At 38.5% G+C, this 25,046-nt stretch overlaps 3 long non-coding RNA genes across 3 annotated transcripts in view, besides 1 other annotated feature; 1 reads left to right on the top strand and 2 right to left on the bottom strand.

Annotated features, from left to right (window-relative positions):
• The window catches only part of LOC124901737 (uncharacterized), a 60,247-nt gene that overhangs the window by 33,394 nt on the left and 1,807 nt on the right, over positions 1 to 25,046 (bottom strand). The gene's annotated exons all lie outside the window — the stretch shown is intronic.
• LOC124901736 (uncharacterized) lies at positions 978 to 5,466 on the top strand. The gene is made up of 2 exons (XR_007060495.1): positions 978 to 1,103; positions 5,332 to 5,466. It is a non-coding gene; the product is annotated as an uncharacterized LOC124901736 (long non-coding RNA).
• LOC105375478 (uncharacterized) lies at positions 3,900 to 20,818 on the bottom strand. Its single transcript, XR_927917.2, has 3 exons — positions 20,723 to 20,818; positions 15,526 to 15,633; positions 3,900 to 4,258 (listed from the first exon to the last, which is right to left on the bottom strand). It is a non-coding gene; the product is annotated as an uncharacterized LOC105375478 (long non-coding RNA).
• Positions 20,721 to 21,920: an enhancer, noted in NCBI's record as "MED14-independent group 3 enhancer chr7:121145116-121146315 (GRCh37/hg19 assembly coordinates)". NCBI's record gives its function as "activates an origin of replication core promoter dependent on BRD2, BRD4, P300/CBP and CDK7 cofactors, and independent of MED14, by STARR-seq in HCT116 cells {active_cell/tissue: HCT116}" and the evidence as "EXISTENCE:reporter gene assay evidence [ECO:0000049][PMID:35650434]".

The raw sequence follows: 25,046 nt of genomic DNA on the forward strand, positions 1-25,046 counted from the left end.
GTTAAGGAAATAAGTTTTTTGAACAATTTATGAAATTAGGACATTTACATGAAATAATATATATGAATTAGGGGGAGCATGGCAGACACCTGAAGTTAGAGGATACATGCTTAACAATCTCACTGGCATGATTTTATGACTTTCTCTCACGAAGTTTGGCAGCTTTGATGTGGAAGCTGAGCAAAAGAAAGGCAGAGTTACCTAATGGTGAGAATTTGGGATGTGGTCATGGGATTCTGGCCCAGTTGGATGGCAAGTTAAGTTAAGAAAAGGTGATGTAATAGAAGAATGGAAAAATATATAGGGCTTGGAAGTCACAGTGCAATGAGAAAATAAGTTCAGTAGATATAATACAGGAAGAGGAGAGAGGAAAATACGATGTGGTCAGAGAAAAGATTTTTGGGAGTTTAAGAAATTGGGATGTAATACTTTAGAAGGATTATAAGTTGGGTTTCCCATATAGGTGTGTGGTAGAAATGGAAGCAAAAGGAAATGTGGTGAAGTTTAAAGCAACAAATGATGACACCAGGGTCTCAAAATTGTCCTCAAATTTTTTTTTGGAGATACAAAAGATAGTTATGTGGACAAGGCATCAAAAGATTACTGTGAGCTAGACATATTCCATCAGTATGAACTTGTCTATTTTTTACTTATGAAAATATGGCTTTTTTCCCAAGTGGCACATCTAATTTAATATTAGTCCCATTGTCAAAACACACCCTATCATTCTATTAATAACAAAAAACAAAAGAAACCTGTATACTGAATCATTGTCAGTTTAAGAAATACAAATAATATTTTTCCTAAGATTAACAGCATCTACTTCCTTGAGCAGCTGTTTTATGTTTTATCTAATTGATTTCAACAAATTGCTTCATTAACAGACACCATAGACAAGTCATCTGAAATTGGTTATCAGTGGGGACACAGGGACAAAGTTCCTGTCTTAATTCCATCTCTTGCTTCTACAGAGAGAAAGCTTGGATAGGCTATTTTGGCCAATAAGCATCACTCCAGGGGTTGAAATGAGGATTTCATCTAGGGTTACAGAAGCTGAAATTCCGGGAGAAGATACAAAACTGAGTGCTGAAAGGAAAATGAAGGTTAGTAAGTCATAGCAGCAAGTCTGAATTGGTCTCTAATAATGTTGTAATTGTAAAGGTTAACCTTCATCTTTGAAAGATCCCTCAGTATTTGGATAAATTCCCAGACAATGAGACCTGCTTCTTTGTTATGTCACAACTCAAATTTTGAGGCTTGCCGGCAGATAAAATGCAGACGCTGGGCCTAGGCTACATGTATCAGAAGCAACGAGAGGGGATTGGCTTTGAGGGAAACTTCCATTTTGGCGGAGGCTGCCACAGCAGATGTATTCAACTTTCAGTCTTGGCAGTGGAAGGGCAGTTTCCCAGAGGGTTCGAGGCAGAGTTCCTGGCACAGAAGTAGCACCAAGGGGGTGGCATCTGCCAAGTTTCCTTTAGTACTAGGTGGGAAGGCAGCAGCGACAGCAGGTTTTTTCATCAGGCCAATTCTGTCATGAGGTTTTGGGCTTTTGTCCTGAAAAGTTAGCCTGAAGTCTGGTTTGCTAGCCTTCCTAGCAATTTTGAGATTTTTAAATATGCTTTAAATAAACTTTTTTTTTCTTAGTCACCTGTTGATTGCATCTAAGAGCCTGACTTACTTTTCTTATTAGAGTGGGGATATCAGGAGGACTGCCAGATGGCATTTCTAAGCACATGCTTTTGCCTGAGGATGGTATCTGTGTTCATTTCTCAATGGATCGTGCTACATTTAAATGAACAGGATGAGCTCAACAACCCCTTTGATTCAGGCTTCCATGCTAAATGGGAAGGGGGTGTTATTATTAGATAAAGCCTACTGGAAGACTACATTAGTTTGCTAGACGTGCCGTAACAAATGATCACAGACTGGGTGGTAAAAATAACAGAAATTTATTTTCTTCTCACTCTGGGACTGGAAGTTGGAGACCAAGGTGTCAGCAGGTGTGGTTTCTTCCAAAACTTCTCTCCTGGGCTTGCAGGTGGCAACTTCTCTCCTGGGCTTGCAGGTGGCACCTTCTCACTGCCTCTTCACATGGTTGTCCTTCTGGGTACTCGTGCACTTGGTGTCTTTTCTTTGTGTGTCCAAATTTCTTGTTCTTATAAGGACACCACACAGATTGAATTACAGTCTGCTCTAAGAACCTCCATTTTAACTAATCACCTCTTTAAAGGCCCTATCTTCAAATACAGTCACAGTCTGAGGTACTAGGGGATCAGGATCATAATTTTTGCAGGGACAGAGTTCAATCTATAATAAAGACCTTGGCATTTTACTTGGTCAACAACAACAACAACAAAACTGTTACTTGAACATATTGAAGTAGTAGAGTTGATCAACCCTGTGGTATTTTTAATTCTCTAGTTTTTCACTTCTCCCTGCTACACCACATATCACAACCCAAATGACCTGAGAGAGAACAGCTCAAGTATGTTATTGACTAGTACTGTCAACAAACATCCAGTTCTAATACTTACTTTACCGTAAAGAGTACTGGCTAAAAAAATGTTCATGGAGGCAGCCTCTTATTTCTGGAATGTTTCAGAATATGTTAGGAACTTGTACTGGGCAAATCCAAGGTAATATCTTTTCCCACTCCAAATAGGGGATCTTCACTATTTCCCAAGCCCTCCTGTCCATGTTATAAAATCTTCAAATTGCTTTTAGTTTTTCTCTCTTAATTATGAACAGACAACCAATGATCAACAGATGTTTTTGGAAAGTCTGTAATATGAGAAAGAAAAAGCACAGTAAAAACAGGCAATATAAGAACTGTACAAAAAGTCCATTATAACTAATATCATTAGATGAATGAGAGAAGATATTCCATCCATGAAACAAAAATATGATATTATTTTTAAGGATGTGCAAAGAATAAGAAGGAGCTCTTAGATACCAAAACATAAAATAAATTCAATATTGACACAGAAAATAAAGTCCAGAAAATGTGATATTGTTTGATCATCAGTGTTTTCATGTGTGACTTGGACCTTGAGAATTAAGTAAAAATAATTTATATTTTATTATTTGATTCTTATAAAGTTATTCAGGCCATCATTAATTATGTCAAGCCTAAAAAGACAAAATGTCCACATCATCTGAATGAATATCTGGAAGTTATTTTCTTATATCAATCAAAAGTTAAAAGCTAATTTCACTGAAAATAATTTTTATAAAATTAATTCAACTTTTAATAGTTTTATTCTTGCTGAAAAGATTTAATTATTTTTAATAGTCTGATTATATTGTCACGTATTTATATAAATTGCTAATTTGCATATGTAATTTGAGAATTACAATTTATGTAATAAGTTACATGAAAAGTTACCCATCAAATACACTTATAAAGTTAAAAGTCAGAAAATTTTAAAATGCTAATTTAATTGTTAACTTAAAAGTTATTCTTAACTCTGAATTGAATAAAAACACTAAGCTTTATGCTTAATAGTTTTACATATAAGTATAGAAATACATATAGTACATGAACAAATATACAATAAATCTGTGGTATTAAAACATCGAAATTAGAAAATATGTCTAAAAAGGCTTGTTAGGGATAAGAAAATGAAAAGATATTGTGAGACATTGATGTAACGGAAAGTTTTGATTTTATTCATGGTTTACTACTGAATAAAGTTTTCAGACTTAGTAAAGTCACATGTTAATAATTAGATTTTTCTGATAGAGATATAAATAATCTCTTTCCTGCCCAGTAGAAGAAGTGACCCTCAAAATTATGGTTTACAACTGCATTGGGCATTAACCAGTTTCGCATTTAACCCAGCAATGTTATCCTCCTGTTAATATCTAGCTTTTCAAATGATCTTTGCACCGGTCATGACATCTGACTTTGACATGTATTCATTTTCTGTTTCCATAAGTCATAATTTTGCCTTTGTGAAAATGATTCTTCAACATATTTTATTTTCTCAGGAAGTTATGGAGGGTGATTAATCAGGGAATAAGCCAAGAACAAAGGAGATCCAGGAGCCAGGAGAAGGAGAATTCCACATAAGAAAGGGGGAAAGGGTACTTTCACTTTGAAGGTGAAGGAAACTTCCAGGAGGACACACCTGCAGCAGGCTTAGAGAGCAATGCTTCCAGATCAGAGCAGGAGGATGGAGAGGTCTCCAAGGAAAAAAATCCAGTTGACAGATCGCTTCATGGGCTTAAATATATTAAAAGGAGTTGTAGAGTTCTGTGCAAAAGTTTAGGACAAAATTAGTGATAGGCACAAAGAAATTAAAAGACACCACAAAAGGAGAGTTAATTTCAGGAAATCAACAGTTATATAAGAAAGGTAACCCAGTAGTATATTACTTGTCTCTGCTGTGAGTAATATTTATGCAGACTTAACAATGTAAACACTGAATATTGGTTTATCCACCCCAAATACATTATAACTATATTGCGGGGAGTTTCCTGGGGGACAGCGAGAGGGTGGAGGCTGTAAACAGTCTAAATCTTCAACTTAATAATAAGGTAAGTGATAACATAGAAACTGGATAAATCAAGAAATGGTGATGTAAGCATGAGTGATGGCCTTCCGATTTGTCTGTTTAGCTAGGCTATAGTCCTCACTCAACCAAATATTAATCCAGGTGTTCCTTGAAGGTATTTTATAGATATGATTAAAGTAGTGAAGGAGATTATCCTAGATAATCTTGGTGGGGTTGATTTAATCAGTTGAAAAGACTTAAGAGTGGAGTTGAACGTCACCAGTGTAGAACAGCTTCAGCCAAATCCCAGGTGTTCTAATTTGTCCTTCCTGATGGCTTGCCCCATGAATTCACATAAGCCAATCCCTTGCAACAATCTCTTAACTATCTCCTACTGGTTTTGCTTCTCTCATTGAATCCTGACTAATAGAGCATCTCATTTTAAAATAAGAAGATGACTATCAGACATGACTGGTAAAATAATTAAATGTATTTACTGAGCTATAGGACTGGAGGGTGAGGAGATTAATGTTTTATTGAATGCAATAAAAATTAAATTAGAAAGCAAGAGAGGGAGCCCTAGTAGTTAGTGGTGGCCACTTTCCCTTTGCTCTTTAAGAGCAGCTCACATAATGTCATGAAAAGTATGTAAAAGTTGGTGAAGGCCAGTTTCACATATTTATTGAAGATCTTCCCAATCCCTACTCCCATCTGTTTGTTTTTTTCCTTTTTCCCCCACACTGGTTCAGTTACTGCTTGTTCTCATCTCTGTTCTCTCCTCTTCTTTTGACTTTGCATTAACCCATATTAACATAACCTGTTCCTGCTGCAGGGGGTGCATGGAAGAAAACTGGCCTGCTTTCGAGGACATCATCAGAGCCCAGAGTTCAACAGATCATGAACACTTCGAGACAAATGAAGACAGGTGCAATCTCCTTGAAGAAATAAAATCTAAGTACCAACATCCCTTCTGAGTCAAGAATCTCCTCTCTTAAAAATGTAAAGCTATTGATCAGGGAGGGAAGTGTATTAAGCAGAGCATTTTTGATCAATGGCTGTATACTTCCTCCTCCCTAACTCCCAAACTCCAGACACAACTGCAGTAACTCCTGAGATTCTTATGGAGCAGGAGAGCAGATAAATGGAGGAGATGAAGCATGAGGACTGAATATGGAAATTTGGGTGCTATATGTTTAATATTGACTGATATAAATCAACATGCATATATCAATGTGTCACACTTTCCAGTTTCTAGGCAAAGATCTTTGGTGCTGATCACTCCACCCTCTGTATACCAGATAATTGTGGCCCCCTCTCTCTCTAAGCAAAGATGGTAGGGATTGTGAGGTGAGGGTGGGCTTGGTAGAATGATTGCAGAATTTTAAAATATATATATCTCTCTCTCTATTTGTTTCCATAATGTAATCATTACTCTACATGCTGTTTTGGAACTTTTTCACTTAATATAACATGACACTTTCTACTTGATATACTATAGATCATAAAATAATTCATTCTCTCTATATTTTTGATGACTTACTGAGTTGCTTTGCTGAGCATTCAGGACACAATAATGAAAAAATGAGTATATACGTGGCTCTCAAGGACTTGATGGTGCTGTTTCTCGTGTCTGTAATTTATTATTTGAAACATTTCCACAAGTTGTGCAATAGATATTAATGTTACTTTTCTCCCCATGGTTCTTGACCCAAGTTTAAACCCGTAGTAAGAACAGAGACAGAGTTTGGACCCAGATTGCATTCCAAAATGCACGTTCTTATAATATATGTTTTATATGTAATGCTAAAGTTGAAAAAAAGAAAGAATGTGATAAACTGACTAGCGAAGTTGTGAATAAAAGGTTTTGGGATTTAAAAATTTTTTGACACATTTGCTTTATCTCTGTCTCTCTAAATAGATTTAAATATATGTACATCATTTAACATTTTTTAAAAAATTACGTATTTAAAAATTAGTTCTAGACATCATGAACCTTTATCCCTAAGTATTTCAGCATAAATATCATTTAAAATGTAAAACTACTGGCTGGACCTGGTGGCTCATATCAGTAATCCCAGCGCTTTGGGAGGCTGAGTCTGGAGGATCATTTGAGCCCAGGAGTTGTAGTTTACAGTGAACCATGATCACACCGCTGCACTCCAGTTTGGGTGATATAGTAAGACCCCATCTTTAAAACGAACAAACAAACTAAAAGACCATCTATGCTTATTATTATTACCCCCAAATGTAACACTGATACAAAAATAGTATTTAACATGGAGACCCTATTCAGAGTTTTCCAATTTTCCCCAAATATACATCTTTCTTTAAAAAAATAAAGAATCCAATCAAGGATTTGCAGTTGATCATTATATTTCTAGAACTATCCCCCTTCCTGAACATTTTTTGGTCTTTCACAAAATGACATTTTTGAAGAGTCTAGACCATTTTCATGGAATTGTCCTACCATCTGGATTTGTGTGATTGTTCCTTCATGGTTAGGTTTTGGTTAAACTTTTCTTTTCTTCTTCTTTCTTTTCTTTCTTTCTCTCTCTCTCTTTCTTTTCTTTCTTTCTCTCTCTCTTTCCTTTCTTTTCTTTCTCTCTTTCTTTCTCTTTCTTTCTTTCTTTCTTTCTTTCTTTCTTTCTTTCTTTCTTTCTTTCTTTGTTTCTTTCTCTTTCTTTCTTTCCTTCTTTCCTTCCTTCCTTCTTTTCTTTTCTTTCTTTTTTTAGACAAAGTCTCCCTTTATTGCCCAGCCTAGAGTGCAGTGGTGCAAACACAACTCACCCCAGTCTCAACCTCCTGAGCTCAAGCGATCCTCCCACCTCAGCTTCCCAAGTAGCTGGGACCACCCGTGCGTGCCACCATGCCCAGCTAATTTTAAAATGTTTTGTAGAGACAGGATCTCACTATGGTGCCTAGGCTTGTCTCAAACTCCTGGACTCAAATGATCCTCCTGCCTTGGCCTCCCAAAGTGCTGTAATCGCGGACATGAGCCACTGCACCTTGCCGGTTAAATATTTTTGACAAGAAGACTACATAGGTGATGTTTGCTTGCCATTGTACGAATTCAGGGGACACATAATAGTGTTTTCTACTATTGATGATGCCAAATTAGATCATTCAGTTAAGGGGACTTCTAGGTTTCTCCTTTGCTAAATTACCTTTTCAGAAAGTCACCTAGGGTGGAGAACTAGCTACATAATTGCAGAGCACAGTACAAAATTACAGTGCTAGGCTCCTTGTTTTAAAATTATTAAGAATTTCAATATGGCAATAATGGAGCATTAAAGCAAGCAGGAGGCACTACTTAGTATAGGGCCCTGTGTGACTGGTCTCACGCTCGTGAAGCTGGCCTGTGTGAGGTGATTCTTTGGGATCACCTAAATATCCTCTTCCCTAATGACCTTTCATTCAGTAGTTTTGCATTTAATGATGATTTTCCATGAATTAATTTTTATCTCACTGGTTGCAAATGAGTGATTTTTTAATTTTGTTATTTCTTCTATATTTATTTGCTGGCATTCTGTGGAAAAAGCTCTTTTATAAACCTAAGTTCATACAAAACTCTGCATGTGAATGTTTATAGTGGTTTTGTTCATAATTGTCAAAAACTGGAAATAGCCCAAATGTTCTTCAGTGGGTGAATAGATAAACAAATTATGTTGCATCCATACAGTAGAATATTACTCAGGGAAAAAGAAAGAACAAACTACAGATACATGAAACAACGTGGTGAAATCTTAAATTTAAATACATTTTACTAAGTGAGAGAAACCAGTTTCAAAGACTACATGTTGTAGAATTTCTTGTAAAATATGATGTTCTGAAAGAAACAAAATATAGGAACAGAAACATGTCTCCTGCTACCAGAGGTTGGGGTGGGGGAAAGTATTGATTACAAAGGGAAATAAGAGGGAATTTTTGGCACGATGGAACTATTTTATATCTTAATTTTGGTGGTAGTTACATGGTTGTATGCATTTATCTAACTCATGTAATTGTATACTACTAAAAAATTTTACTGTAGGCAAATATGAAAAAGTGAATAAATAACTTAAAAACTAATACAATTGGTCATGTTTAAAAAAAAAAAAGACCCCACCTTCCCAGTACTTAAGATAACTACGGACTCATGGATTCTCTTTTTATTAAACATACAACCATTCTCTATGCCATTCTCTATATGTTCTACTTATGCCATTCTCTATATGTTCTACTTATACCATTTATATTATTAGTATAATAATATTATCTTCTTTTTTACTTTTCAATTTTAAAATTATTATAAATGTGTAGGAAGTTGCAAAAATAATGCACAGAAGCCCTGAAAATGCTTCACTTCGTTTTCCTCTGTGGTTACATTTTAGGTAGCTATAATTCAATATTAAAACCAGGAAAATAGCGTTAGTACAATATTTCTGGGCCACTTTATCAAATGTGTAGATTAAGGTAAATATAACTACAATCATGATACAGAACTATTTCATCACTATGAAGGTTTCCAGCATGCTGCATGCATAGTTATAGGCATCTCCTTAACGCCCACCATTCCTAACTCTTGGCAACCACTAATCTGTGTTCTAGCACTATCGTTTTGCAATTTTGAGAATGCTATGTGAATGAATTATACAGCAAATGACCTTTGGAGACTGGCTTTTTAAGTTTAGCACAATGCCCTTGAGATCCATTCAAGTTATTGTGTGTAGCGGCAGTATTTTCTTTTTATTGCTGAGTAATATTCCATGTGTGGTGTGCCACTATGTGTTTAATTATTCACCTGCTGAGGGATATTTTGGTTGTTTCTCGTTTTAAACTATTACAAATAAAACTCTGAATAGTCAAGTTACAGCTTTTTGTGTGGTTACTATTCTTTGTCATGTTAAACATTGTTCCAAATTTGGCCACTAGGCCAAATTCAGTTCAGGTATACTATTTTTTAAATTGCAGTGTGGTTTTCATACAGTAAAATTGCAGTGTGGTTTTCATACAGTAAAATTCATCCTCTTAAGGGTATAGTTCTATGCATTTTGCTCAATATATAGAAGTATGTAACTATCACCAAAGTAACATAGAGAATAGTTTCATCACAATAAAATATTTCCTTGAGTCCCTTTATTGTCAACTCCTTGCTCCACTCCAGAGCAACCGCTGATTTATTTTCTGAGTCTTTAGTTTTGCCTCTAGTCTCCTTTTGATATATCTTTAATAATCTCTAAACAAGTCCTTCCTTTTGGCATAGTGAGATGTTCTAAACTCATCCTGTTCTTTTTCTGCCCCAAATCTAGTGAGGATTGGTTTAAACACCTGTGCACTTTGCAAACGGGGAGAAGGAAACCCCAAAATATGCCATAGTAATTGTACTAAATAGGTTTTTATTTGCCCAGTTTATTGACAAAACAACTTAGTGATTTATTTTGGAATTTTGAACAGAAAACCTTGAAATATGCTTTGAAGTTAGTGCAAGAAAAATTATATCCACCCTATTTGCACTTTTAAAAGCTATTTTGTTTCTTAGGGTTAAGAGAGAGCAGTAACATATTGCTGCTAAGGTTCTATGTATTGATCTTAGTTAACTTCATTTAGTTAACTTTCTAGCTGCACTTTATTTTCCCTCATTTATAGGAGAAGTCCCTGTCTATAGCTATATCTGTATCTATCTATGTCTAAAATGTATAATTTTTGTTTAAACTGACACTCTAAGAAAAAATAGACTTTCCCATTCACATTTTTAAGAAAGTGCATCATTCAACTGAAAAATTTAGAGATGGCATTTTACTTACAAGTTTACCAGGGAATGTAAATGTTTTTATATGTCAGCTGATATTTTGACTGGATTTATCTAGAAATTTGAGTCATACCTTGGTCATTTAAAAGCATATTTATTCAATGCATAGCTTACTGAATGATTACTATGTGCCAGGCCCTTTGCAACACTCCAGAAATAAAAGTGGAGGGAAAAAATGTCTTGGAGAGAATAGGGCCATATAGGTAGACAAATCACAATATCAATACAGTAGGGGCTATTCAAGCAACTAGAATATAGTGGCTTGTGAAGATCTACCTTAAGATAAGCCCACATTAAGTGGCCATATTAGAAAATATGTTTTTACGAAATACAAAAATGTAAGAGGAGCTCATTCTATCTACCCTGTTTACCCAGAAACATCAAGTAGGGTTGGTGAATCAATTTATGAACCCATGGTTTTGTGTGATCTGTGAGGAGTTAATAAACTGCCTTAGGACTAGCATTCAGCTGAAGAAGGATAGAAGAAGTAAATGGGAAAATACTGGTGAAGCAATACTCCACCCTGGCAGCTCAGGTGAAAACCTCATCTGTAGCAGAGAGGGGGTGGGATCTGAAGATGGAAGAAAGAGATATGATTATCCAAATGCTAGAATATTAATATATTTTTACTCAGGAATGGGAAAGGAGAATGCTTTTTGGTGAGGAAAGAAGCACATATAGGATCTATGTTTTGGGGGGATGGAAATATGTTATGTTTACTTATTTATCACTCTGTTGCCCAGGCTGGAGTGCAGTGGCATGATCTCGGCTCACTGCAGCCTCAGCCTCCCAGGTGGAAGTGATCCTCCCGCTTCAGCCTCCCAAATAGCTGGGACCACAGGTGCGTGCCACCATGCCCAGCTAATGTTTTGTATTTTTTTGTAGAGACAGCGTTCCGCCACATTGCCCAGGCTGGTCTCATACTTTGAGCTCAAGCGATCCGCCTGCCTCAGTCTCCCAAAGTGCTGGGATTACAGGCAGGAGCCACAATCCCAGGCCAGGAAGTGTATTTATTTTTGAGGCAAATTTGGCTGTAGTGGATTGCAGGGAAGAAGTGAGGACCAGATGAGGAGAAAGGGAAAGTGGAGCCTTAGAGAACTCAAGGCTCAGCACAGAAAAGAAAGTAGGGTGGATGTTAAACTTCCTCTTTAACTTTTTTTTTAAATTACTGGGCCAGTTCACCAAATAGAAAAACAGGGTGAATTTGAAAGTCTAACCATGATTCTGTGATTCAGAGAAATACTTTGCAGATATAAAGTTTCAGTGGTAAAAGATCCCCAGTACTAAATAACATTTGTTATAGTGGGAAGATTAGTTTGTCAAAGTTGTCTCATTTACCTCCAATAAATAAATAATTGAAGTCACTAGTTTTTTTAAAAAAATATAGGAAAACATTTAAGGATGTGACTATATTTGGCAAGATGTTTTGTAGTTGAGAAAATTATACCCCTTATACTTGACAGATTAAAAAAATGCAAAGTAGCAGAAAGTAATCATTAGATTTTAAAATACAAATAAGAAAATAATGCTGAAGATGTCTAGCCAGACTAAAAAAATTACTTATAATGGGAGAGAGAAAAATACTTTTCTAAACTGTGTCAGTTGATTATGACCCTTTCACTAATATTAATAATATAGAATGGTTATTTTGACAAGGTAAATGCTGTAAAGTTAGCTTTGGAAGACTAAAAATAACTTTACCTTGGAAACAGAATGACACACATATGCACCTCAGCTTTGTCCTCTTTCTAGCTGTGTGAGGCTCAAACAAGATAATAAAATGATCTGTAAAAGGTAAAGACTAATACAAAAGAAGAGCATTGCTATTAAAGGTGTTTCCAAAAAAGTGCATGGAGTCCGTAGAAGAGAAGAAACGAGGAGGTGACACCACTCCAGAAGCAGAAGAGAATCAAGATCCCACCCTGAAATTGACAGCATACTTTTGGATAGAGCTATAGAATTGTTCAGATTTGACATTGTGGAAGGCAGGCTCTCAGATGGTCCCTAATGATTGCTGCCTCTTGGTATTCATGTCCTTGTATAGTGCCCTCCCATACTGTACCAGGGAGGGACTGTGTGACCAATAGATTCTGGCAGGAATTATATACTATCACCTCTGTGATTTTTACCGAAGGAAGGAATTGATATTTTGAAAAATGCCCACCATGGCCATGGGATTGGGTTAGGCACTTTACATATATTATCTCATTTAATTCACAAGACAATGCCATGAAGTTGATAGTGCTGCCAGTATTTTACAGATGATAAAACAGGTTCAGATAACTTATGTTAACTTGCCTGTATAGAGCTGGGCAGGTCTGTCAGACTTTAAAGGAAATGCTCTTTCTATTAAATGGCACTGTTCACTTTACAGAACTCAATTCTGTAAAGAATAATTACAACAAGGGCTTCATTTCCTCATTGTTCTGAGGAGAATGTGGATCGGCTGGAAATATTTCTAAAGTATGTGACTTGCAGTTGGGTTATATGCTCCAAGTAGATTTACATATAAAAATATTACGAGCTTTGGCTGGGTGCAGTGGCTCACACCTGTAATCCCAGCACTTTGGGAGGGCGAGGGGGGTGGATCATGAGGTCAGGAGTTCAAGACCAGCCTGACCAACATGGTGAAACCCCATTATCTGGGGAACCAGCCCCCAATATTTCAACATAGGTTCTTTCTATTTTCCCTAAGTGTCAGCCAGTCTGAGAAAGAAACAGAAAGAGTACAAAGAGAGAAATTTTATAGCTTGGCCTCTGGGGCTAACATCACATATTGGTAGGTCTGTGATGTTCCCTGAGCCGCAAAACCAGCACGTTTTTATTAGGGATTTTAAAAGGGGAGAGGGTGTGCGAACAGGGAGTAGGTCACAAAGATCACATGCTTCAAAGGGCAATAAAGATCACAAGGCAAAGGCAAAATTAGAATTACTGATGAGGGTCTATGTCCCGCTGTGCACATATTGTCTTGATAAACATCTTAACAGAAAACAGGGTTAGAGAGCAGAGAACCAGTCTGACCAAAAATTTACCAGGCTGGAATTTCCCAATCCTAGTAAGCCTGAGGGTACTGCAGGAGACCAGGGTGTATTTCAGTCCTTATCTCAACCCCATAAGACAGACACTCCCAGAGCGGCCATTTAGAGACTTCCCCCCAGGAATGCATTCCTTCCCCAGGATATTCTTTGCTGGGAAAAGAATTCAGTGATATCTCTCTTACTTGCACGTCCGTTTATAGGCTCTCTGCAAGAAGAAAAATATGGCTCTATTCTGCCTGACCCCACAGGCAGTCAGACCTTATGGTTATCTTCCCTTGTTTCCTGAAAATCGCTGTCATTCTGTTCTTTTTCAAGGTGCACTGATTTCATATTGTTCAAACACACATGTTTTACAATCAATTTATACAATAGTGGTCCTGAGGTGATGTACATTCTCAGCTTACGAAGATAACGGGATTAAGAGATTAAAGTAAAGACAGGCATAAGAAATTATAAAAGTATTAATTTTGGGAACTGATAAATGTCCATGAAATCTTCACAATTTATGTTATTCTGCCGTGGTTCCAGCCGGTCCCTCCGTTTGGGGTCCCTGACTTCCCACAACACACCATCTCTACTAAAAATACAAAAATTAGCCAGGTGTGGTGATGCATGCCTGTAATCCCAGCTACTCAGGTGGCTGAGGCAGGAGAATCACATGAACCTGGGAAGCGGAGGTTGCAGTGAACTGAGATTGTGCCACTGCACTCGAGCCTGGGTAACAGAGGAAGACTCCATCTCAAAAAAAACCAAAAAAACAAAATAAACAAAACAAAAAAAGTTATGAGCTTTGCCTTCTCAAAAATAAGTTTTTGTTTATTTATTTATTTATTTTTCTGGACAGGATCTCACTCTGTCACCCAGGTTTGAGTACAGTAGCATGATCACAGCTCACTGCAGCCTTCACTCAGGTAGCTGGGATTATAGGCACACACCACCATGCCTGCCTAATTTTTTTGTATTATTAATTTTTTCTAGAGAAGAAGTCTTCTTACATGCCTAGGCTGAATAATCAGTTCTCTCAAGGGGCAGCATGGCATTGAGATTAAGAAAGTGAGTTCCAAGGTGATACTGCCTGAGTTGATAGTAGTAGTTCCACCACTTACTTTGTGACTTTGGGAAAGTTACTTAACTCTGTGCTTCAGCTTTCTCAACTTTAAGACAGACCTAATAATAAGACAGAACTTAAACACCTTAGTGTTGTTAAGATTAAAATATGTATTTTGTCAAAAACCATAAATCTAACACATACAGTGTTTACTATGGGTTGGACATTGTTCTTAGTGCTTTCCCTGTAATAACTGGTTTATTACAAAGATTTTGTGAAGTAGACTTTGTTACTATTTCCTCCTTGCAGATGATTAAATCAACGATTGAGTAATTTGCTCAAGGTCACCTCTCTATTAAAACCAAATAATCTGGCTTTGAAGTTTATGACCTTAACCATTATGCTAAACTACTTCTCAAGCACCTAGCAGAGTGCTTGGTGCAAAGTTTCTGCTCTATACAAGTTAATTCTAATATATACTTTCAAAAAATTCTTCCATTGACCTGGCTTCTTTAAACTCTGTTAAATGCTGCTGGGCACTGCATTCACACCTATGCAAGGTCATTCAGTGCTACTCAAGAATAAACTGCTGAAGGCATTTACTGAAAGCAAAAACCTCCAGTGAAAGGCTTTTGGAAGTATCTACTTAAAAGATTTTACTTACCTGATGTCACATTGTCTTTTAATTTTTTTTTTTTTTTATGAGATAGAGTCTCAGTCTGTTGCCCAGGATGGAGTGCAGTGGCACAATCTCTTGGCTCACTGCAATCTTCGCCTCCCAAGTTCAAGCTATTCTCCTGCCTTAGCCTCCGGAATAGCTGAGATTACAGGCACTTGCCACCATGCCCACTTAATTTTTGTATTTTTAGCAGAGATGGGGTTTCACCATATTGGCCAGGCTGGTCTCAAACTCCTGACCTCAAGTGATCCACCCACCTTGGCCTCCCATAGTGCTGGGATTATAGGCATAAGCCACCATGTCTGGCTGTCTGTATTTTGATCAGTTCTTCTCTCAGTTACACTGCTGTGGAAAAGCTGTGGTGTCCCGAGAAGGAAAGTGTGAGTAATTACCATCTATGTTATAACCTTTTTCTGAAATAGAAAGCAATCTTCAAAACGTCATTTTTTCCCCCTTAGGATTCTATTGCTCACATTTTCAGGCATGCAGTGGAGATGGTTCTCCATCGTAACATGGGTTACTTATTTATATCAAACTGATGCAGTCAATGTCTGTGTAATTCATCACTGTATCGCCAACACCTAAGTCAGAACCAGCAAACATTAGACACTTAATTAGTATATGTAGACTTTTGGTTTCTAAATTGTCTTTACCATGAAGTCAAAAGGTAAACTAACAGGGGCATATCCTATAAATCAGTGGTTCTCAAAGTGTGGTACTGAGAACTGCAGCATCTGTAACTCTTGGTAACATGTAATTATAGAAATGCAAAATTCCAATGCCCATCCCAGACCTATGAAATAAGAAACTTCAGGTTGGAAGCCAGCAATCAATGTTTTAAAAGCTTTCTAAGTAAATCGTATGCACACTAAAGTTAGAGATACACACACATATATATGTATATATATAATCTCCTATATCTAAGTCATGAAAAAGAAGTCTGTCATTTAGTGCTCTTGCTAATTCATCTTTAAACAGGTGCAGTATTTTCACATCTTGCAGTAAGTCAACTCATGAGGCAGAACTTAAAATAAAGGTGGTTCCCAGATTCCTGGGCAGTCACAAACCAATTTATTCAATCTCTGTAGGGTGGAGTTGGGGTAGCTGCATATTTAATAACATTTTTGGAGTTTCTTATGCAAAATTGATTTATGAGAGCCCTGGCCTAAGATGAACTATACTCAGAGGAGTTTCTGTGTGGATTAACTTTGCATTGCTTAAGTCACAGGAAGAAACCGGGTCTGTTTATCTTGAAGCCTGTTTGATAGGCCATTTGGGGCCATCTCTGCCTTTTGCCTCATAGTATTATGTTATACTAAATAAAAGCCATTTTATTTTTGGAATCCCCAGCTTCTCTGTCCCACCCTTTGTAACCAGTTACCTAATTTCAAGTCTCTAAGTAGTCACTGTTTTATTAACCTGTAGTCAAGTAAACTACAGTAATGAATGGGCCAGGTGCAGTGACTCATGTCTGTAATCACAGTACTTTTGGAGGCTGAGGTGGGATGATCATTTGAGGTCAGGAGTTCGAGACCAGCCTGACCAACATGGTGAAATCCCATCTCTACTAAAAATAAGTACATAAATAAAAAATTAGCCAGGCCTGGTGGCACATGCCTGTAATCTTAGCTACTTGGAGGCTGAGGCAGGAGAATTGCTTTAACCCGGGAGGCAGAATTTGCAGTGAGCAAGATCGTGCCACTGCTCTCCAGCCTGGACAACAGAATTAGACTCCGTCTCAAAACAAACAAACAAACAAACAAAACCAGAAGATAAATGAAGCATGGTCATGGAAATTCCAAAGAATACCTCACTGGTTGTGTCATGTACAAGAAAATTTTGAATTATTTCCACAATTAAGACACTGGCTCCTTATCAAGTGTGTTAACCATGTATTAGTCGCTTAGTTGTTTGGAGAAGGCAACAAACTTATTTCAAAGATACTAAAGGAAATCTTGTGGCCACACTTACAGACAAGGGAAACAACTATTTAATTACAAGTACACAAAACAAGCCTTATATAAAATAAAATTCTGTAAGGGTTGTTAACAACCTGACATTGTTTAGTTTGAACAACACTACAATCTTAATTTTGAGAGTCAAATGAGCTGTAGCATACCGTTCTGAAAATGTGTGAACATGAAGAAAGATAAACAAGAATAACTGACTTCGTATTCTGGAGTAAGAATTAAATGCATTTTATAGTTTGTGATAAAATACTCCCAATAAGAAATCAGTGGATATGGGTAGGGACATATAACTGATAGATTGGAAATAGAAACGAGACAAGATGGAGCAGGGCCCTCCTCTTCCCAAGCATGGAAATAAAGGAAAATCTTAAGTTCTTTCAAGGGAAATTCCAGGCACCTAGCTATCCTTAAGAAGTAAATGAGTAACTTGGTAAGCAAGAAGGTAATAGTAGCTTAAAAAAATAGCCAAGGGAATTAGAATCATGAGATGTTCTCTACAGAAGCTAAAGATAACCTCTTAGTATATATCCCTGAGTTTTTTTTTTTTTTCCAGAAACCCACTAGCAGGCCAGGCACAGTGGCTCATCCCTATAATCCCAGCACTTTGGGAGGCTGAGGAGGGGAGAACACTTGAGGTCAGGCATTCGAGACCAGCCTGGCCAACATGGTGAAACCCCATCTCTACTAAAAATACAAAAATTAGCCGGGCAGGCACCTGCAATCCCAGCTACTCAGGAGGCTGAGGCAGGAAAATTACTTGAACTTGGGGGGCGGAGGTTGCAATGAGCCTAGAGATCATGCCACTGCACTCCAGCCTGGGCAACAGAGAGAGAGAGACTCCATCTCAAAAAAAAAAAAAAAAAAAAAAAAAAAATTAAAAGGCAATGTGACATCAGATAAGTAAAATCTTTTAAGTAGATATTTCCAAAAGCCTTTCACTGGAGCTTTTTGCTTTCAGCAAATGACACTGCACTCCAGCCCTGGTGACAAAGTGATAGTCTGTATTAAAAAAAAAAAAAAAATGAAGAAGCCTTTTTTTCTTGGCAGGTAGACCTCAGATAAGGGAGAGTTGAGGACTGAACTCTGACTCCAGTTCTTAGTTCTAAAGTTACTCCTGAAGGGCCTAGAAGTCATGCCCAGGAGCCAGACCTAACACATCTTTCTGCTGACCCCAAATTTTAAAACAAAGCTCTTCCCTAACCAATTGCATAATCAGAACATCTTTGAATCTGTTTAGGGCTTGTAAGCCCCTACTTCAAAATAGCTCACCTTTTTAGACCAAACCAACTTATAACCTCCTTGTATTAATTTATGATTTTGCCTATAACTTCTGCTTTCCTGAATTTACCCCTGGCTTTAAAAAATATTTGCTTGCAAGCCATCAGGGAGGTCGGGTCTTAAGCATGAAGTACCTGATTCTTTTGTTGCTTGGCACCCTGCAAAGTAAACCCCTCCTTACTCCCACTGCAGACCTCGGTGTGGGTATTTGGCCTTATTGTGCCAGGCACCTGGACCCCAGTTCAGTTGAATAACACGAGGAAGGGGGAATCATGCCCAGCAGTGGTAGATAATGATATAGGAGTTAAGAAGAAATCACTTAGGCAGATAGTAAAGGTATGGGAGTCCTCGGCAAGGCCTTTCTTTTTAATGAAAAGTAGCCCCAAATCATCTAACAAAGAGCAGCCTATAAAGTCGAGCTGCAGACATAGACAAGCAAGCTGGGAGCTTGCAGGGGTGAATGCTGACAGGAACTAGGAACTAGACATGTTCAAGATGGCAGCACCATCTTCCCTTCTCTGCCAGCCATGTGTACAGGAAAGAGCAGAAAAGACCGAACCGGCCAAGGAGCATTCATTTGCATAATAGACTTAGGGTGGGGCCCCAGCCTTCCCCAGGCACTATGTAAACGTCATACCTGATTGAACCAATCTGTGAGCCCTGTGTAAATCAGACACCACCTCCTCAAACTGGACTATATAATCTGGTGCATTTGCCACTACCACCCAGTCCTTTCTACTCAGAGATCCCTTTCTCTATAGAGAGAGCTGTTTCTCTTTCTTTTCTCTTCTGCCTATTAAATCTCTGTTCCTAAACTACTCCTGTGTGTCTGTGTCCTAAATTTTTGTGACACACGATAATGAACCCTGGCGTATATACACCAGCAACATAGCCGCTTCAATAATGAACACTGTTCTCTCCAGGGAAAAAGAAAGAAATGAGTATTCAGGTATGTCGGGTCTTAGATCTAGGAAGTAAGACTTTCTTTCACCAACTTGGAAAGCAAAGCTGTATAATATAGATAACCTGGTGCAGGGACCCAAGGATTCTTGTTGGTGAATGTGAATGGAGAGAAGGTAAGAGTCCGACAAACTCAGTGCCTGATGTGAGCCTAGAAACCTGTGCTTACAAGCGGTGCTGATAAGGAGAAATCTTGATGAGAGAGCAGCAGTGGATGGTGGTGGGGGTGTCTGGCTGGAGTTAAGTAGAGCTAAGTGGCTATGAGTGCACCTTTGTAAACAAAATAAAATATGTTGCTTCTTCTCATGATAAAAAGTTGCCAGCTGTAGAGGCCTTTGAACCAGAGCAACTCCATCTTTAATAGGGGCTGGGTAAAAGAAGGCCAAGACCTACTGAGCTGCATTCCCAGATGGCTAGGCATTCTAAGTCACAGGATGAGATAGGAGGTCAGCACAAAACACAGATTATAAAGACCTTGCTGATAAAACAGGTTGCAGTAAAGAAGCTGGCCAAAACCCACCAAAACCAAGATGGCGACAAAAGTGACCTCTGGTCATCCTCACTGCTACACTCCCACCAGCACCATAACAGTTTACGAACGCCACAGCAATGTAAGGAATTTACCCTATATGGTCTAAAAAGGGGATGCATAAAAATTCCACCCCTGGCTTAGCATATAATCAAGAAACAACCATAAAAATGGGCAACATGCAGCCCTCCTATGAAATAGCCATTCTTTTATTCCATTACTTTCTTAACAAACTTGCTTTCATTTTATGGATTCACCTCAAATTCTTTCTTGCATGAGAACCCTCTCTTGAGACGTGGATCTGGACCCCTTTCTGGTAACACAGGTACTCAGGGCCCCACTTCTTTTCTCGGTTTCAGTGTGGATGTCCCACTTCATAGCCTCAAGCTATGGAGCCAATACTGATTGCTCTCCTGGGCAGTAGAAACACGGGGGTTGTAGTTCCACCTGGCTTCAAACCCCCAGGTCCGCTGGATGTTTATCTAAATGCGGTCCTTACAAACAAGGTTCTTTTAAATGGAAATCTAGCAGAACCTTCTCCTTTAGGCTAAAACTGTTCCACCAGGCAGTCTCCTGATGCCAGGATCTGATGACTCACTCTCTGCTTCCCGGTTCCTGTGTCCATAAATTCCTTGAATTAGCTAAAGAATGCAGTCCAGGCAAATTCTAGTTTCTTACTCAGACACTTGACTGAATATCTCCTTTACTCTCATTTCTTCTTTCTGCTTCTTTTATCATTTCCCTAAATTTATATTTTCTACTCCTACACTTTATAAGTTGCTTTTCTCTCTGTAAATACAAATTTCACACATTTTCAGAACCTACCAAGTATTATACATAGGCTTCTGGGGGTGCTACAGCCCATTCGACTCTCACAATTAAGACTGTGGTGCTGTTCAAACCAAACAATGTCAGGTTGTTAACATCACTTACATGGTTAACACACTTGATTAGGAGTCAGTGTCTTAATTGTGGAAACAATTCAAAATTTTCTTGTATATGACACAACCAGTGAGGTATTCTTTGGAATTTCCATGACCATGTTTCAGGAAGTACAAACTTTGCTGCTAGCATATTGGTCCACAAATCGCTATGTAAACAACAGATGCAACCAATCATGATCAGCAACCTTCACATCACCTCTTTAAAAGCCTGTCAGTGATTGGTCACTGCACATCTGTTACTCAGTTCACTCACAGAAAGCAAAACATGGAGTTGTGTTGCCTCCTGGTTTCCCAACAGTAGAGAGATGCTGTAAGCAAAGTAGTTTAACTTTTAAAGCACTACTACTGTTACCCTCATTCTCCTGGTGACTTCTGAATGTGGAAAATTTGCTTTTTAGCACCAACAGAACTGCATTATCCAGCCAATGGGCCAAGGGAGTTGTTTTAACTTTTAAAGGCTCATTTCTTATATGAACTTGAAGACAGGCTATGGATACTACAAGCTGGAAATCATGCAACTTCTTTAACTGAATTTTTGGAGAAATGTGACATAAAGCATGCAATTGAAAACATTTAAGCATTATGGCAGGAAGGTGTTAGAAACAAATGCTGGGTGCCGCAAGGAAGAACCAGCACTCAGACAAAAAGTTTTCTCAGCAAGGCAATTTACTTCTGCAGAAGGGTGCTGCCTGTGTCAGTCACGATCGCAAGAGCACACCAAACAAAGAAGAGAAGGAGTTTTTATCCCCAATGCAGTTCCTGTCCCTGTGGCCTTCTTTTATTGGCTAGGGTTGGACCGCACAATCTAAACTGATCCCAATTGGCTAAGACTTAAATTTTTCTAAATAGGGTAAACATGTGCTTTGTAAGAGGAGGAAAGGGTAGGAGTGGTCCGCCTGGTAGAGTACAAGGCATGTCTGGATATGTCTGGGCATGTCAGGGCACAACTAGAGCAGGAGGCTAGTTGTTTGCAGGCTGGAAACGAGAGTGCAAGGAGGTTGGGCTTTTGAACAAAGAACAAGAATGTTATACAATTAAACATTTTGAAGAGGAATTTATCATACCTAACAATTTCCCCCTTTGCTTTTTGACAATTCTTCCTCTTTAAAATTTTTTAGTATGATTTGGCTTTGTTGCTCTTCTTGATCATTTAGGAACAAGAGCTTATCTGAGAATGGAGGAGGAGGGATAGGGGAGGGTTTTGTGAGAGCTGTTTCTATAAGTCTTGACATTAACCCATGGATACAGGGTATGATGCAGCATCCTACAAAAATGAGTAAACTTATGACAATTGCAAGAGGTTAATATTGTGGACATAAGCCCTTTCCATTTACCGAACCATCTTTCCGTGAGACTCATGAAGGGGTCAGTTATTCCAAAATTTTTGGCTAACTCAGTTGATAAGGAGGTAAGCCCGTGTAAGGCCTTTATAATTGTTCCATTGGGGGCTGTGTTGTTAGGGATAAAAGTACAGCATTGGACTCCAATCATGACACAGACTTCACCTTCTTCTGCTAACATCATGTCAAGGACTATTCTATTTTCCCAGACAATTTGGCTGGTGGGGCCTAATTGTTCAGCTATTCCATTGATTGCATCTCTTGTGTAATTGACAAACTGCTGTTGATAATAACAGATGTAATTTATCCAATTTACACTTTTGTTTATAGTTGATCACCAGAACAGTGCAGATTCAAATCCTGCAGCTATTTGATTTTGAGCTTTAAATTCTTCTGGTACCACTCATGGGACCCCAATAGCATCTATATAAATGTGAGGGTCAAAAGACCCATGAGGAGCACTTCTTTTTGTCTGATTCTCCTTCTTTTTATGTTGACGGAATGCCAGGGTGAAAGGGGTGGCCAATAGGACCAGAGCACAAGTGCCACTCCAGTTACATGGCAGAGTACCCAATAGTAGTACACCGCAATACCATCATACATCTACTCGGGAATAAACAAGGGCAGTCTGACTGGTAAACTCTTGGAAAGTCTTGGTTTCACTGTACTTTTTCAGGTCTCCAAGGGACGTTAATCTTTCCCCATGCCATGAGAGACACGAGGTAAAATTAACATCAGACACTGGAGGCCGGATGGCCATCAGTGACTGACCCACAGAGCCCTTCACTTCAGGGAATAGCAGTGAGAGAGTCTTGCATGCCTCATTGCCCCAGGCTGTGGGGTTTTGAAAGAGACTCACCATGCAGCTCATGCCCAGTTGGTCAGAAGACCATCCAAGTGGGAAGGGGACTATTTGGGCCTCTGGTCTGCCTGCCGTGCAAGTGTAACAGTAGCTTTTGTTTAACGTGCGAACAGAATATTTAATCCATTCCAGCCAGGCATTTGCATCTTGGAATCTCATTTCAATGGCTAAAGTTTGTTTTAAATCTTTAACGTCTACAATGTCTACTGTAGTTTCATCACAGGGTATGGGAAGAACAACTATTTGATTGGGAGGTTTAGAAGGAGGAGAAAGGGAAGGGGGTGGGGAGCAATGAAGTAGATCTCAAAGGATCCTATAGGGTCTATTCCAGGAATATCAGCTACTAGGCCATAGAAGTGACCTAAAGTGGAGTTAGTGTTGGTAAAGGTGGGGACAGTGGTAGAGATTTGCACACGGTTACATTGTTGGAGTTGACAATTAGAGGGAGTAGTCTTTTTGGTAAAGTGGATGTAGGGTTTTAGGTTAGTGCAACCTCCTCCTGGGGAGGTCAAGCCTTGATACTTGGTGGTCCAGACCACATCTCCCCAACCAAAACAGAACTTCCACTGACTGCCTCATGCTCATTTGGTGTAAGAGTCACTCTTACAGGCAGTTTTATTTATCCAGGAAGGGCAAAGATACTTTTCTGAAAAAGCCATTTCAGTTGTCAGGAGCACTAGATAAGGTCCTTCCCAAGTGGGCTTGAGCTTTCCCTCTTTCCAGCTCTTGACAAGGGCTTGGTCTCCAGGTTAGTGTAAGGATTGGGGACAACAGGGTAAGTAGTTTGAACTATTTGATTAATAGCCCTGAGATCCTGTACTAGCAGGTATGACCCGTCTGGCTTCTTTACAGGCAATATTGCAGTGTTATAAGGGGATATACAGGGCTCAAGGAGTCCATTGTGGATAAGACTTTCAGCTATAGGTTTTAAACCTATTCTTGTTTTAGAGGAATAGGGTATTGCTTTCTTTTTACTATTTCCCCAGGGGTTTTTAATTTGACCTTAACTGGAGGAACTTTTAATTTTCCCCAGTTTCCTTCTCTTGACCAGATATCAGGATGGATATACTCTTCATCTATGGTGGTGAGTCAGTTTAGGGAGGTAAGAAATTTTCCCTGGTTAACATAGAGTCCTAAGCCTAATTTTAGCATTAAATCCCTCTCTAATAAGTTTGTTTCTGTCTCTGGAATTAACAGGAATTTAATATTAGTGGAGTGATTCTGATATTTGACCTTTGTTTCTTCTAATATTTTTGCTGTAAATCCTTCTCCTTTTACTCCTGAGATTAGAAGTTCTTCTTCTGAACAAGTTGCACCAGATGGGGAATAAGAGACAGAGGAGCAAGTCGCCCCTGAGTCGATTAAAAAGGTAATAAATTCAGATGTAAGTCCCACTTCTGAATTTATGAAGGGCTCTGGGTGGGATCTGAAATGAAAGAGACAGAGTCCCTGATCCCGCTATTCTTCTTCAAAGGCCATGAGTGACCTTACTTTCCTTTTCCCATTCAAGGCATTCTCGTTTGAAGTGACCTATTTTCCCATATTTGAAACGCCTATTTTGCCCTTTTTCCCTTCTCATTCCTTGACCCTCTGGTTTGATCCCTTTGTTTCCCATGTAGGGTCTAACAGCCAGACACTTAGAAGATTTACAAGCTCCATTTCCCTAGGCTCTCTCCTGGAGAGTTCTCTGTGGCATGGCAGAAAACATAATTCTTGCTTTTTGCCTTTGCTTTTCCTCATCCCTCTGTACATATGCTTTTTGGGCTTTTCTTAAAAGCTCTTCTATGGGATGGTCTTTCCAATTTTCTATCTTTTGTAATTTTTTTGTAATGTCCAACTATTTGTAACAAAATGGAACTTTAACATCCCTTGTCCAAGGGGGTCTTCTAAGTCTAATCCAGCATATTTCCTCATTTGCTCCTTGAGACTTTCTAAGAATTCCATAGGTCCTTCATCCTTTCCCTGTTGTATGTTAAAAGCTTTGGTAATATTTTGAGTTAGAGGAACTGATTCCTGAATCCCTTTAATTATCATATCTCTGAGATCCCTTATATCTCCTCGATGGGCTGCATTATTGTTATCCCATTGAGGATCTTGGGCCAGGAACTTTT

This window comes from Homo sapiens, chromosome 7 (genome assembly GCF_000001405.40).
Source record: "Homo sapiens chromosome 7, GRCh38.p14 Primary Assembly".
NCBI lineage: Eukaryota > Metazoa > Chordata > Mammalia > Primates > Hominidae > Homo > Homo sapiens.